At 36.2% G+C, this 15,735-nt stretch overlaps 1 protein-coding gene across 19 annotated transcripts in view; it reads left to right on the top strand.

Moving 5' to 3' along the window:
- Nucleotides 1-15,735, top strand: part of CATSPERT (catsper channel auxiliary subunit tau) — a 131,758-nt gene that overhangs the window by 32,681 nt on the left and 83,342 nt on the right. For 16 of the 19 annotated variants that reach the window (XR_007069662.1, XM_047443508.1, XM_047443507.1 and 13 more), the window contains 4 exons: nt 4,281-4,403; nt 11,172-11,216; nt 12,221-12,289; nt 14,478-14,557. Coding sequence is in view for 18 of the 19 variants with exons in the window: in XM_047443508.1 (XP_047299464.1) it covers nt 4,281-4,403; nt 11,172-11,216; nt 12,221-12,289; nt 14,478-14,557 (317 nt within the window). In the remaining variant the exon portion in view is untranslated. The remainder of the gene's footprint in view (nt 1-4,280; nt 4,404-11,171; nt 11,217-12,220; nt 12,290-14,477; nt 14,558-15,735) is intronic. The other 3 variants (XM_047443509.1, XM_047443506.1, XM_047443510.1) reach the window with 3 other exon arrangements.

Raw genomic sequence — 15,735 nt, 5'->3', positions numbered from 1 at the left:
TGTAATGTTAATGTATGTAACGTTACTGTAGCATCTGTTACATTTTATATAATTATAATATATTTGAGTTTAAATCTATTACCTTCTTTTGTGCTTTCTATTTATCCCAATTGAACCATGGATTATTTTTTTCTTCTTTCCTCTTTTGTCTTCTTTTCTTCATCTCTGGGATTGAGTACGGTTGATGCTTGGACAACACAGGCACTGAGGCACTGACCCCCCTCTGCAGTCAAAACTGACTTCCCCAGTCAGTAGACTACTAATAGTCTACTGTTGACTAGAATTTTTACCAATAACATAAACAGTTGATCGACACATATTTTGTATGTTATGTATTATATACTGTATTCTTACAATAACGCAACTAGAGAAAAGAAAACGTTAAAAAAATCATAGGGAAGAGAAAGCGTATTTACTGTTCATTAAGTGGAAGAGGATCATCATAAAGGTCTTCATTCTTGTCGTTTTCACATTGAGCAGGCTGAGAAAGAAGAGAGGTTGGTCTTGCTGTCTCAAGGGTGGCGGAGGAGGAAGAGGTGGAGGAGGTAGAAGGAGAGGCAGGAGAGGCAGGCACATTGGGTCTAACTTTTATTGAAAAACCATGTGTAAGTGGACGCATGCAGCTCAAACCATGTTGTTCAAGGGTCAACTGTATTTTACAATTTCATTCCATTTTTCTTCTTTCTTGTTTTGGAGATTATACACTACTCTTTTTAAAAATGGCTATCATAGAAATTATGTATGCTTATCAAATCCAATGTTTAACAATATCCTCATCTTTCATCCTTCTCCTGGGAAGAGCAAGGATCTTAGAAACTTTAATTCCATTTATCACCCTCAACTAATATGTTATTATTGTCTCTTTTTTTTGTATTTTTAATTCCCTTGAGTTGTAATTTGTATTTATTTAATATAGTCTATATTTGTTTAGTTTACCTACATATTTGCCACTTTAACTTTTCTTACAGCTCAGATCATCCTCCTGGGGTCAGTTACCTTCTGTCAGAACTATTTATTTAAAATTATTTTTCCTATGAGAGTTAGTTGGTGACATAATGATTTTGTTTGCCTGGTCTTTTTTTTTTTTTTTCTTGTTCTGTAGGGAATTTTTTTTTTAATACTTTAAGTTCTGGGATACATGTGCAGAACGTGCAGGTTTGTTACATAGGTATACACGTGCCATGGTGGTTTGCTGCACCCATCATACCGTCATCTACATTAGGTATTTCTCCTAAGGTTATCCCTCCCTTATCCCCCCACCCCTCGACAGGCCCTGGTGTGTGATGTTCCCCTCCCCTGTGTCCATGTGTTCTCATTGTTCAACTCCCACTTATGAGTGAGAACATGCGGTGTTTGGTTTTCTGTTCTTTTGTTAGTTTGCAGGTCTTTATGTCATTCTCATTTTTGAATGAAATTTTTTTTGAGTATAGAATTGTAAATTTGCAGTTATTTTCTGAAGTATTTCACTATCTCTTAGCTTCCATATTTGTTGAAGAGAAGTCACTTGTCAGTCTGTCACCTTTGAAAATAATGTATCTTCCTCTTTCTGTGTGTGTTATATATTTTTTTCTTCTAATTTCACTCTGATGTGTTTGTATTTGGGTTTCTGTATATTATGTTGGGATTTATTGGCTGCTTAACCTGGATTGATGATGTTCATTAGTTATGAAAAATTATTAGCTAATATTTCTTTCTTTCTTTCTTTCTTTTTTTTTGAGACAGAGTCTTGCTCTGTCACCCAGGCTGGAGTGCAGTGGCACGATCTTGGCTGACTGCAACCTCTGCCTCCCGGGTTCAAGCGATTCTCCTGCCTCAGCCTCCTGAGTAGCTGGGATTACAGGCGTGCGACACCATGCCCGGCTAAATTTTGTATTTTTAGTAAAGATGGGGTTTCACCATGTTGGTCAGGCTGGTCTCGAACTCCTGACCTTGTGATTCACCCACCTCGGCCTCCCAAAGTGCTGGGATTACAGGCATGAGCCACCATGCCTGGCTAGCTATTATTTCTTAAAATAGTGCTTCTCTGCTCCATTTTCTTAATCCTTTATTTCCTTTCCTTGGACTCTGGTTAACTTACGTTAGGTATTCTTACACTATCTTCCATGTCTTTTAACCTATAAAAAATATTTTTCATCACTTTGTCTCTCTGCCCAGCATTCCAAGTAATTCTTCTGATCTTTATTTTATTTTATTACTATTAGTTTTATTGAGACAGGGTCTCCCTCTGTCACCCACACTGGAGTGCAGTGGCGCGATCACGGCTCACTGCAGACTCAACCTTCTGAGCTCAAGTGATCCTCCTATCTCAGCCTCTTGAGTAGCTGGGACTAAAGACGTGCACTACCATGCTTGGCTACTTTTTGTATTTTTTTGTAGAGATGGGATTTTGCCATGTTGCCGAGGCTAGTATCAAACTCCTGGGCTGAAGCAATTCACCCACCTTGGCCTCCCAAAGTGCTGGGATTCCTTAATTCTAGTTCGTTAATTCTCCAAAGCTGCATCAGATTTGTGGTTGAGTTGATATAGTGTTTTTATTCAATTGTTTTAGTTTTCTTTTCTACAAGTTGTTCCTTGTTTAGGTTTGTTAAATCATTTTTAAAGTTTCCTGTGCCAGGAGTATATTTTCAGTTTGGTTTTTGTTCCTTTAAACATAGTAAACATAGCTCTTTAAAATTCCAATATTTAAGGTGTTTTGGGGGTCTATTTTTGCTCTTCTCATTTGTGGCGCTTTGTTTCCATGCTGACTGAGTTATTTTTGACTGTTAACTGCTCATTTTCCTTGGAAAATTATTTGTGGAACTTCTTTGAGGTCTAGGATGAAAGTAGGAGCTCTACGCAAGATTTGTGTTTCTTCTAAGGCAACCGAGCCCACTACCAGTTTGGGACCATTTTCAACTAAATTCCACTTGAGATATTTTAAAAAATATAAGTCGTCCTGTTTATTTGTTTATGTTATGACAAAATATACATAATATAATGTTTACCATGTAAACCATTTTAAGTATCTGGCTCGAAATTTTTTATAAGATTCAGTGACTGTGACTTTAGGCTGCAATTTCACTGAACCGGTTTTTGTTTATAGCTTATTAGGGACCCAACACTCCGTTCTACTCAGCAGTACAACTTTCCTTGCAGCCTTCTGTAGATGTGATGGGAGAAGGGGTTCTCCATTCACTGAAGCCGTAGCCCTTTGGGTTCTCAGCTTTCTGGGAGGATGGTTGGGGAAGGACCCTCTGTTAAATGTATCATGTCTTGTCTTCTCTGTTCTTTGCCTTTCAAGACCATATGAACTGCAGTTTTAGGTCACCTGATTGGGAAGTGCCCTGAGGGCAAATGTAACTTCAGGGTCTAGTTTACTTCTCTGAGTGTCTGTCAATACTTGGAGTTTTATATGATTACTTCTCACCATTTTATTAACCCTGTTTTGCTTTTAAAATGGTATTTTAAATATTTTATTGAGCATTTGTAGTTTTCTACTGTTTCCAATAATCAAGATGCCAAATTGTTGAAAAATGGAGCCTGCCCTCTTAACTAGTCTGCTGGCACACAGGGCTTGCATTCCTTTTTCTCATTTCTTGGGGGAAGACAGTCACTAGCATAACTTTAAGAAGGCTGATATCGGCTCTGATTTCAACCATCAGGAGAAACACTGCAGGAAGGCACCTGGATTCTTAGGAGTGGGGAGGCATGACTTTTTTTCTAATTAGCAATAGTGTACAGATATTAAAGATTACATAATAATGGTACTGTGCTCCAGAGCTCAGGGTTGGGAGAGAGTTTCAAGTTCAGGCAATGGTATATATTTTGTCAAAAAGTTAAAGAACAGAGACTGAAAAGGATATTAGATATTTTTTAGTGTTGGATATTTGGATAACCTGTATTTGGATTATCTGGATTATTTGGATTTCGTATTGGGTAGTTGATTATCTTTGATAGTGTAGTTTCAATAGAGTATTGAGGGTGAACTTTTGTGTAGTGTTAAAAAGAGAATGTAGGTAATGGGTGTTTCCAAAAGATGATAATTGCCGTTAGATATAAGCAAGATCTTCATTTTGTTGATATTAGTATATATGTGACTGTGAGGTTGAAAGTTATAAAGCTAATGACATACAAAAACGTATCACTAGGTATGCAAATAATATTTATTTGCATAATATAGTATGCAATAGTATTTGCATAATAATATTTGCATAATATAGTAATAGTATATTGGATGTATGTGTTCAGAAATATTTAGGCTCAAATTTAATGCTTCTTTTCTTATATATTTTGATATTGAGGTTCCCAGACGTTATGATGATAAGCGGAATAATATTTTATTGGAACTCATACAATATGACAATAGAGAAAAACGTGCTTTCTTGTTAGGGAGTGTTCAGATACATCTTTATGAGGTAATTCAGGTATGTATAAAATGATTTTTTTCACCTTGGTATCACGTTGCCAGTTGGTTGTCCAGTTTGTTGTGATTTATTATACTTGATGGGCTTTTTTTGTTTATTATCTGCCTTCAAATTCATGTGTTTAAGAAATAAAATCTCCTTTTGGCTATATATTTTTTAAAAGAGTTGGCTTATAATAGCATAATGTTTCTAAAAATTTATTTTCCAGCCTGTAATCCCAGCACTTTGGGAGGCCGAGGTGGGCAGATCAACTGAGGTCGGGAGTTCGAGACCAGCCTGACCAACATGGAGAAACCCCATCTCTACTAAAAATACAAAATTAGCTGGACATGGTGGCCCATGCCTGTAATCCCAGCTACCTGGGAGGCTGAGGCAGGAGAATTGCTTGAACCTGGGAGGTGGAGGTTGTGGTGAGCCAAGATTGCACCATTGCACTCCAGCCTGGGCAACAAGAGCAATACTCCGTCTGGAAAAAAAATATTTTCCAGAATATGTATGTGTATATATATATATATATATATATATATATATATATATATATATATACACACATTTTTTTCCAGAATATTTTATATATATATATATATATATATATATATATATATATATATATATATTCCGGAATGTGTGTGTGTATACATATATATATATATATATATATGAAATTAAGTAACCAAAAAACCCACACTTACACTTTTAGGTTGTATCACTAACTAACTTTCTGGAAAATAAATTTTCTTGGCCCACTGCAACATTTGCCTCCCTGGCTCAAGGGATTCTCCTGCCTCAGCCTCCCCACTATCTGGGACTACAGGTACATGCCACTGCACCAGACTGCTTTTTGTGTTTTTAGTAGAGACAGGGTTTTGCTGTGTTGCCCAGGCTGGTCTCGTACTCCTGAGTTCAAATAATCTGCCCGCCTCAGCCTCCCAAAGTGTTGGGATTACAGGCCTGAGCCACTGTGCCTGGCTATTTAAATTTGCAAATAAAAGTTGCATATATTTATCGTGTACAGAATGATGTTTTGAAATATGTATACATTGTAGAATGGCTAAATAAAGTTAAACATGTTTTATTATGTTTCTGAAATGTCTTAAGACATGACTGAAGCTGCAAACTCTGTCTCTTAGTTGGCAATACAAATTTTGGTTTAGTTCTTTCATCCTTAGCTGGGCTGCTTACAGACTTCCTTGTGCATGTGTCTTTTAGAGGTTAGCCAAAGATTTGGGCAGAGTTTATATACAGATTTTATGGTTGCTTCCCTCTTGTTTTCTCCTTTCTAGGAGTCCTTTTCACTTTCCGGCAGCTCATTTTGTGGTTGTGTTGAACTCAGAGTCAAGAACTTACTGATTGGTGAATAAGTATAAACAATCTAAAGTATTTTCAGGAATGTTTTTTGTTACATACAGCAAGGAAGTCTTCAAAGACTAATGGGGTTATGTCAACAGCCAGATTGCAGGGACTCCTATTGCCCAACTTCAGAATAACTTGAACATAGATTATTGCAACATTCTGAATAAAGGAAAATTCGTGACTCCTTGGTGATCTTCAAAAAAGAGAAGAAAAGATGTGGCATAGGAAGAAAAAGGAAAATTTTAAAACAAAAGAATACCAGTTTATGAATGTAGAAGTAATGAAAGAATTACAAATTATTGTTTTTGCAACTCTTTGTAATGAATAATGATTAATTCAGTCAATATTTAGCAATGGCACTAAAAACCATTAGGTAAAAGTTTATTGGGAAGCAAGATATTTGCATGGTGCCGTAGTAACAGCGCAGGGGAAATGTTACTCTACAATAGACAGATGTGGTAGTTGCCACTTTAACCAAGAGCTCGAATTTAGCATAATGAATTGTGGATAACTTAACATCATGTACTTCCTGTAGTGATACAATGTGAAGTACACAGTATTATCTATGACTTATCGTCATCAAAAATGTTTAACCTGGCTGGGTGCAGTGGCTCAGGCCTGTAATCCTAGCACTTTAGGAGACTAAGGTGGGAGAGTTGTTGAGGCCAGTAGTTGGAGACCAGTCTGGCAACATAGCAAGACCCTGTCTCTACACACATAGAATTAGCCAGGTGTGGTGGCATGTGCCTGTAGTCCAAGTGACTTGGGAGGTTGAGGCAGAAGGGTCGATTGAGCCCAGGAGTTCGAGACTGCAGTGAGCTATGATCGTGCTACTGCACTCCAGCCTGGGTGACAGAGCAAGACCCTGTCTCAAAAAAAAAAAAAAAAGAAAAAGAAAGAAGTGTAACCCAAATCTAATCAAGCTGAGTGTAGAACTAACTTCAAGTTTACGGGAATTTAGTGAGTAGGGGAAAATGTTAAACAATACCTTAAGATAAGTACAGAAATGGGACATACCAGTGTAGATTCTTTAAATAGCTTTGGTCATTAAAAAAAAAACCAAAACGCACCAAAGATGGAAGGAACTATTCTAGATTTAAAGAGATACAACACATTTGACTGAATACAGATTCGAAAAAGTTGTAAAAGACTCTTGGGAGCCAGGCTTGGTGGTTCACACCTGTAATTCCAGGACTTTGGGAGGCTGAGGGAGGTGGATTGCTTTAGCCCAGGAGTTTGAGACCAGCCTGGGGAACATGGTGAAACCCTTTCTCTAAAAACAAAACAAAACAGCAAAACAAAAACAAAACCCACAAAAAAACACCCACAAAAAATTAGCCAGGCATGGTGACACCTGCCTGTAGTACCAGCTGCATGGGGGGCTGAGGCAGGAAAATCACCTGAGCCCAGTGAGGTCGAGGCTGCAGTGAGCCATGATTGCACCACTGCACCCCAGCCTGGGCAACAGAGTGAGACCCTGTCTCAAAAAATAAAACATAAACATAAATAAAAGACATTCTTGGGACAATTAGGAAAATTTAATAAATATTTACTGAATATTAGAAAAAATTCTAGAATTGTTAATTTTCTTGGGTATAATACTGATATTGTGGATATATATGTATGAATTTTCTTATTTTTACAGTATCCAAGGTAAACATTGGGAGTGAAGAGTAATGATGATTGCAACTTATAAATAGATCAGCAAACATATCTATACACACACAGAGATTTTAAAAAATGGCATACTGTTAAATCAGATAAATTTCTAATACATAGAAAGAGATGAAGAAGGATAAACATATGGAGTAATGAATAAGTGTAAGCAACCAGAGATTCTCAAAAATATTTTGGGAGAAGATCTTTGGAAATGACTAAAGTTCCTTTGACTGTATGGCAATTTAGGCATCAAAAAATGTGACATTACTTATTAGTTAATTTTTGTTGAAGAAAATGTAGAAGCTTAGATACTTAGACTAGAAGCATATATGCAAACTTTTCAATATTTATTTTTATAAGATCATGAATAATATGCTAATATTTTAAAATACAAAGGTAAATTTTTTAAAATTCAGAAATCACCCATCATTCCACAATTCTAATATAACATTTCATTGTTCAGAGTTTCTTTCCAATTCATTCTTATAAACATAAACAGAAAAATAGAAAATATAAAAAGACCCAAATACATATTCTGGAACTGAAAAGTAAAATATCTGAAATTAAAAATTTGCTGAATGGGCTCAACAGCAGAATGGAGGTGCTAGAGGTTTTCTTATTACTTCCGTTAAAATTTGTGTGACTATTTAAAGTAAAAATTATAACATGATCTGTGCGGTTTATAATGTTTGGAGAGGTAATGCATATGACAACCACAGCATATAGCATAGGGAGAAGATGAGGTCTAAAGGACTTTTATAATGCAAGGTTTTTGCATTTTCTCTGTTTTATTATAATAAAAATAGAGTTCAAGTCTTTATGTTGCTGCTTGATGCCATCTTCTGTCTCCTCCCTCTCCCTCAAGAAAAAATGATTATCCAAAACTTTGTATTTATTATTCCCTTATTTTTCATAGCTTTACTACTTATGTATGATTATAGAAATATTATATTTCTAAATGTAGTATGTTTCTAATATTAATACACTTAGCTAGTGTTAATTTTTTGCTGCTGCATACAATTCCATATGGGTGTATTCCTCTGTTTGCCCATAAATTAATTTTTTAGCTGATCATTTATTTTTACTTGATAAATACAGTATATATTTATGGGGTACAATGTGATGTTTTGATCTATGTATACACTGAAAAAGATTCAATCAAACCAATTAATATTTCCATCACCTCACCAACTTATCTTTTTTTATAATGAGGATGATGAAAATCTATTTTATTCAGCAGTTTTGAAATATACAATACGTTACTATTAACCAGGCAGTGCAGGAGATCACTAGAACCTGCTCCTCCAGTCTAACTTTATACACATCTTCCCTTTCTCCATTCCTACCCCTACTCCCCAGCCTCTGGTAACCACCTTTCTACTGTTTCTATGAGATTGACTTTTTTAGGTTCCACAGATAAGTGAGATCATACAGTGTTTGTCTTTCTGTGCCTGGCTTATTTCACTTAGAATAAAATTCTCCAGTTTTATCCATGTCACAAATGACAGAATTTCCTTTTATTTTAAAGCTGCATAGTATTCCATTGCATGTATGTATATACAGCACATATTCATCTGTTCATTTGGTGATGAACACTAGGTTGCTTCCATATCTTGGCTATCGTGCTGACATGAGTGCAGATATCTCTTTGACATACTGATTTCAATCCCTTTAAATGTATACTCGAAGTGAGATTGCTGGATCATATAGTAATGATATTTTTAATTTTTTGAGGAACACCCATAGTATTTTCCAGAATGTCTGTACGGGTTAAATATCACTTATCTGAAAAAGCCTGGGACCAGAGGCATTTTGGACTTCTAATTTTTTTTTGATGTTGGAATATTTGCATATACATAATGAGATAGCTTGAGGATGGGACCCAAGTCTAAACATGAAGTTCATTTATGTTTCATATACATCTTATATACATAGGCTGGTGGTAATTTTATACAATATTTTAAATAATTTTGTGCATGAAACAAAGTCTTCATTGTATATTGATTGTGGCTTGTCTGTCACATAGGCCAAGTATGGAGTTTTTTTACTTCTGTGTCATTTTGGCACTCAAAAAGTTTCTGGAAAATTGTGGACCTACTCATTACAGCAGAGATGACTATAGATATTGAGCAGGGATACCAAAGGTTAACGTGGTTTAAAAGATCCAGCCATCCCTGAGAGATGCGAGAAGTACTCAGTCCTATCGGGACTCAGCTTATCATATAGAATTATGTTTAAGTAACCCCTCTCTTAGGAGGGTGCAAGGTTAGAGGTAACCAGGCCCATGCATGTTTGTGTCTTTCCACAATGTCAGGCTTTTATTAATGCTATTTCAATCACAAAAGCCACAAGCTACATGGAGTTCCCAAGGAGCCAGTTCTCCTTAAGTACCTCCCGTTCACTCCGCGTGCCGTGGGCACACAGGCTCAAGCCACTCCACAAGTCAGTCAATATTGCAAACATACATAATAGTACACTTAGTATGTAAACATTACATTCCACAACAAAGTAACATTTAATATCAAGAGGAAAAAGAAATAGGAGAAAAGGTTAACGAACTGGCCTATGGGGAGCAAAGAAGACAAAAGGAGCCCTGGTCTGGGCTGGGCAGTCCATTGGTCTTGCAAGGAAGAGTCTGAGGTTGCAGAACCTTCAGTGGCAGAAGTCAAGTTCTTATCACAAGTGACTGTAAGATGGTGTCAGTTAAGATGGCTGTTTCGAGCTGCTGAAAGCCTAATCTTTTATAGTCACAGAGTCCTCTGCTGAAAACAGTGGAAGAGTATGCTTGTTTCTGTCCTTATCTGGTTGAACATAGTCTTTATTTTTTTATTTATGCCTTAAACAAAACATCTTATCCTTGTTGGCAAAGTGCCCTACGAAATATAAAATGGAGTCTTTTTCTAAGATGGAGTTAGTTATGGCAAGGATGCTCGATACACCCTCAAAAACAATGTGGGCATGGCAGTTCCTTTAAGACTTTCAAAAAGGGGAACTGTAACTTAGCAGGAACATTTTTGTCTACAACATAATAAAAATACATTTATTTCTGTTACTTGAACTTGGAATTTTTATTTTCTTCTTTTGAACATTCCTTATGTTTGTACTTTGGCTATTAGGTTCATATGTGCATTTGAAAAATTATTACCTGATTTGTGGTTTAGGTCATTGGTCCCCAATCTTTTTGGCACCAGGGACTGGTTTTGTGGAAGCAAATTTTTCCACAGACCAGCATGGGGAGGGTGGGTCGAGATGGTTCAAGTGCATTACATTTATTGTGCACTTTATTTCTATTATTATTACATGGTAATATATAATGAAATAATTATACAACTCATCAGAACGTAGAATCAGTGGGAGCCCTGAGCTTGGTTTCCTGCAACTAGACAGTCCCATCTGGGGACGATGGGAGGCAGTGACAGATAATCAGGCATTAGATTCTCATAAGGAGCATGCAACCTAGATCCCTTGCATGCATAGTTCACAATAGGTTTTGTGCTCTGATGAGAATCTAATGCCCCCACTGATCTGGCAGGAGGTGAAGCTCAGGCGGTAATGTGAGTGATGAGAAGTGGCTGTAAATACAGATGAAGCTTTGCTCGCTTGCCCACCACTCATTTCCTGCTGTGCAGCCCAGTTCCTAATGGGCCATGGACCAGCACCAGTCCATGGCCTAGGGGTTGGGGACCCTTGGTTTCGATAATATACAGGGAAATACATGGGTAATTCTATATTTAAAATTTTTATTTTTTTTTCTAGAAAGGGTGCTTCATTGAAGAGGTCCAAGTGTTGCATGGAAACATAGTAAGGACTTTACTGAAACTTCCTAAGTTTTATGTGCATGTAATATATTCTTAACATTTCATGTAACTTTACTCTGATATTATTTGTAGCCTACATGTTTTTATTCTTTTAGTTACCATACCAGTCACTGTTTGAAATAGTAGAAATGTATGAAATAGAAAGTACAATATTAACTAACAAAAATCTCCTCCTTCTCCTCCTCCTCTTCCTCCTCTTCTTCTTCTTCTTCTTTTTTTTTTTTTTTTTTGCTAAATGGTGATAAAGAAAATTAGAAATCATTGGGTAAGAGAGTAGAATGCCTCTGGCTGCTGCCTTGACATGCATAGCCTCAGGAGCCTCACTTGCTAAATTGAGGAAGTATTATTTTTCTCTCTGGAGCGTTTCTAAAGAGTTGTTTGCAGTTCTTAATTTAATTTCTTTTTAAGTGCTTAAAATTAGTAGTTGGATTAATTGATCTTTCTATTCAGAGAGGCTTTTGCTGCCAGTGGCCAAAACAGGGGCTAGGAACATAAAAAACAGAAAGATGGACACTTGACTTTATTACCTCTCATGCCCTCCTTTATCAACCTGGGTTTCAGAGAAGTGAAATCACTTGTCTAAATCAAAATTTTATCTGAAACTGGGACTGGAGGTGAGAGGAGTGTGAGTAAATAATTAAAAATATACATACATGAATGTATATTTGTATATTCATACACATGTTTGAATCACGTGTATATATGTATGTCAGCATCTCAGTGTAATCCCAGTAACAATTAGAAGTTGATATTTTCCATATTTTAATTGTATAATACTACTTAACTTTAACATAAAGGGTTTTAACATTTCAGGAACTCAATAAATTCTTCTGTAGGAGTTCCTTGTGTAAACGCTTTTTTAAAAGTCAGGAGATTCATACTTTGGCTTTTCTAACTTACAGATTTGTAAGGTAAAAATATCACTTTTTGTCCCTTCTCCATTAAAATATCATCCTGATCAAACAATAAAATTTATCACATGTTTAGTTTGTCTGCAGGCTGGAGGTGGAATTTATGTTCTCCTATGGAAACTTTGGTTATGGATTTTCACATCAGGTTAGTTCCCCTCTTTTAAAAGATTATTCTGTTGTAACTCTTCAGTCAAATCGTCCTCTTCTGAGGCTCTATTTCAGTTTGAACAATTGTTTAAAATAAATATTTTTAAAAGATGCTTCTTTACCTCCCGACTTTGAGGTATGTGGGCTTCTCTTCAGCCTAAAGAAAGATGAGACTTTACTATGATTTGTTTATACATTTTAAAGCAATGATATTTTATTCAAAATGTCTTTATTATAAAACTTGATTTTAGGCTAGGTGTAGTGGCTCACACCCATAATCCCAACACTTTGGGAGGCCGAGGTGGGTGAATCACCTGAGGCTGGGAGTTCGAGACCAGCCTGGCCAACATGGTGAAACCCCATCTCTACTAAAAATACAAAAATTAGCCAGGCATGGTGGCAGGCGCCTGTAATCCCAGCTACTTGGGAGGCTGGGGCAGGAGAATCGCTTGAACCTGGGAGGCGGGAGTTGTAGTGAGCCAAGATCACACCACAGCACTCCAGCCTGGGCGATAGACTGAGACTCTGTCTCAAAAAAAAATAAAATAAAACTTGCTTTTATTTGTGTGTACACATACATGTTGATGTAATTTGAAACACAAGTATTCAAGAAATCAGTGTGGATTTCTGCATCTAAAAATAGTTTTTAAAAATTGAGTAATTGCCTGGCCTGGTGGCTCACACCTGTAATCCTAGCTACTCTGGAGGCTGAAGCCGGAGGATCACTTGAGTCAGCCTGGGCAATATAGTGAGATCCTGCCCTGAGAAAACAAAATGGAGTAATTGATCTAATTCAGATAATATTTTGTACTCATATGGTCCTTTCCTCCACAGTTATTTCAACATCTGGTGCTATTTGAACTCTCCTTGATTCATCAAGAGACTAATAAACCCAAAGAAGATATCTTCCTAATTTTGACTTCCTCCTTTAAATTCACTACCATAGGTCCACATTGCCACAAATACTTTTATGTACTAACTTATATCCTTTTCTCTCATTATATCCTTAGGCCAGATTCCTAGAAAGGAAATTCTTGTCCAAAACAATGACCTTTTCAAGGAATTATTCTAGAAAAGTTGTACCAATATATACTCTCATCAAATATTGAAAGAACTCTTAATATTCCTGGGTGTCACCAGTTTTGTGGTATTCAAAAATGCAGTCCTCTTAGTGCTGCTGTTATATAGGGGAAATGACCTTTATTTGCATATCATTTTTCACTTTCAGTTTTTCCTTTCTAAAGTTTTGGGTCTTTTTAAATTAGGAATTGAGAGTGAAGACATCAGCCTTATTTAACAAGTCTACCGCTGTGTTAACTGAGAAATCTCTGTAATATGTTTTAAAATTGTGCCTATATTATGTTATAATGATGTTTAATACATTTTGAATCAGAAGTAATATACAGATGAAAGCCACAAGGAACAAGCTTTTTTTTTCCCTTCTCTGCTTTGATTTTTTACTTTTTCTTCTGTTATTTTTTAAATTTCTTATTGTAATTAGGCCTTATAGGGACCCCTAATTGTTTACTCCTTTTGTGACAGTTATAGCTTATGAGCACCAACTCCGGAGGTAGGTTTTGTGTCTGAACACAAGTATAATATATAGTAATAGCCATTTTTAAGGAGAGATATTCTTTTCAGATAAAACTGGGCAAGTATTATTTTATGTAGGTGGAATCTACTAAAAACCAGGAACAAAGGAATTGTATGGAAAAGAATAGGATATATAATAAAAGTTCAAAATAAAAACTTGATTTTATGTCTGTGAACTTTTCAGTGATATTGTCCCCTACTTAACCTATCGTGATACTGTAAACAGGGCACTACATTGGGGGCAGATAAAGCTACATTCAAGTCCTGACTCTTGCCTACTGTGTAGCCTTGAACAAATTACTGATCTTCAGTATCATCTGTAGAATATGCTTAGTTACTTACCGTATAGGTTTATTGAGATGGTTAAATAAGATTAAAAGTATAATAAAATGCTTGGCAAATATTTAGTACCCAATAAATGTTAGTGTCTTCTTTCCTCTCTTAATTCCTTATTTCCTTACATGTCTCATTTAAGGCCTATTTCATAGTCCTGGGGTATTCATAGCATTATGGTATCAATATGGTATGGTATTACAATTAGTGAGTTTTAATTGAAACTAAACAGTGCTAAAATACACTTACATTTTTTTCAGTTAAAACCTCTTCAGAAAATTACTGAGCCATCCATGTTTATGAATCTTGCACCACCTCCAGAAAGAACAGATCCCGTGACGTAAGTGTTTTAAGTCTCGTTAATATGGTCAGATCATGTGGCACTTAAAACAATTTTAATCCATTTGGTGGAGCATTTTGGTGGAGTTATTTTAAGAAGTCCCCAGGACATGGCCAGGATGGGGTAGACTCTGAGGTGAAGAGAGTAGTGAATTGTTTTGCTTAATAACAGGGAGAAATTTTGAATTTCTGGATATAGCCCTGGATAGAGGAGTTGAGGACGTATGGAGATAAAAGAAGAGAAGGAGTGCCAAGTTCATGGCTGAAGGAGGGAAGGGAGGAGTAGCTTAATAAGGAAAGCAGGCCAAGGAGATACCCCTTTTGGGAAAAGAGGTGAGAGACTTAACATAAGACTGTCTGATAGTTATCAGTTTTCTGCTCTGCGGTATAGTAATGTTACCCTTACCTCTACACCACTCCAATTGCTACAAAATCATCTGTAAAAAGTCTATGGTAAAACAAATGTCATTAGCAAACCAAAAGTAACTTAAAATATAGTATGCTAATCAATCTTGAAATTTCAACAATAAAAATAGATTATAGAAAAATGAGCACCTGAGAAAGAGATTTAATCTATGGTGTTATCCAAGAATAAGAAATGGAAAAAAGCTGAAATGGGATTGAGGGAATTAGGTGTTGAACGGGAAATTGTGCTCTGAAGTGCTTATTTTCCCGTAGTCTCACCAACACTGGATATTATCATTAAAATACTTTATCTATTTGATATTGGTGATTTGTTGAAATAGTAAAGCTGAACTTTTTCTTATGTTTACCTTTCTTCTTCATACATTTATTAAATAAACATTTATTGAATGTCTGCTATATCCCCAAGTCATGGCAAATACAAAGACATCTGAGGCCTTCTCCTTGCCCTTGAGTAGCTCGTGGTTTAATGCAAAATAACATAAAAAATAATTACTATGATGATGCCAATGGAATAAAAGCCCTTCAAGAGCCAAACATAAAGAACTGTGGGATGCCAAGGAGCTTCTAATTCTTGTCAGGGAAGTTGGGGAGGAAAGAATGATCAAGTAAGGCTCCACAAAAGAAAGTGCTTGGAGTGAGACTTGTAAAAGTGGTAGTAGTGCATCTGGCTGATTTTGGAGGAGTGAGGGGACACATTCTCTTGATAGAGCACAGAAGTAAAAGCAGGGAGCCATAAGAGACTCTATTATGTTA

The sequence above is a fragment of the Homo sapiens genome, chromosome 2, assembly GCF_000001405.40.
Source record: "Homo sapiens chromosome 2, GRCh38.p14 Primary Assembly".
Taxonomy (NCBI): domain Eukaryota; kingdom Metazoa; phylum Chordata; class Mammalia; order Primates; family Hominidae; genus Homo; species Homo sapiens.
This window is presented reverse-complemented; position numbering and strand designations above follow the sequence as displayed.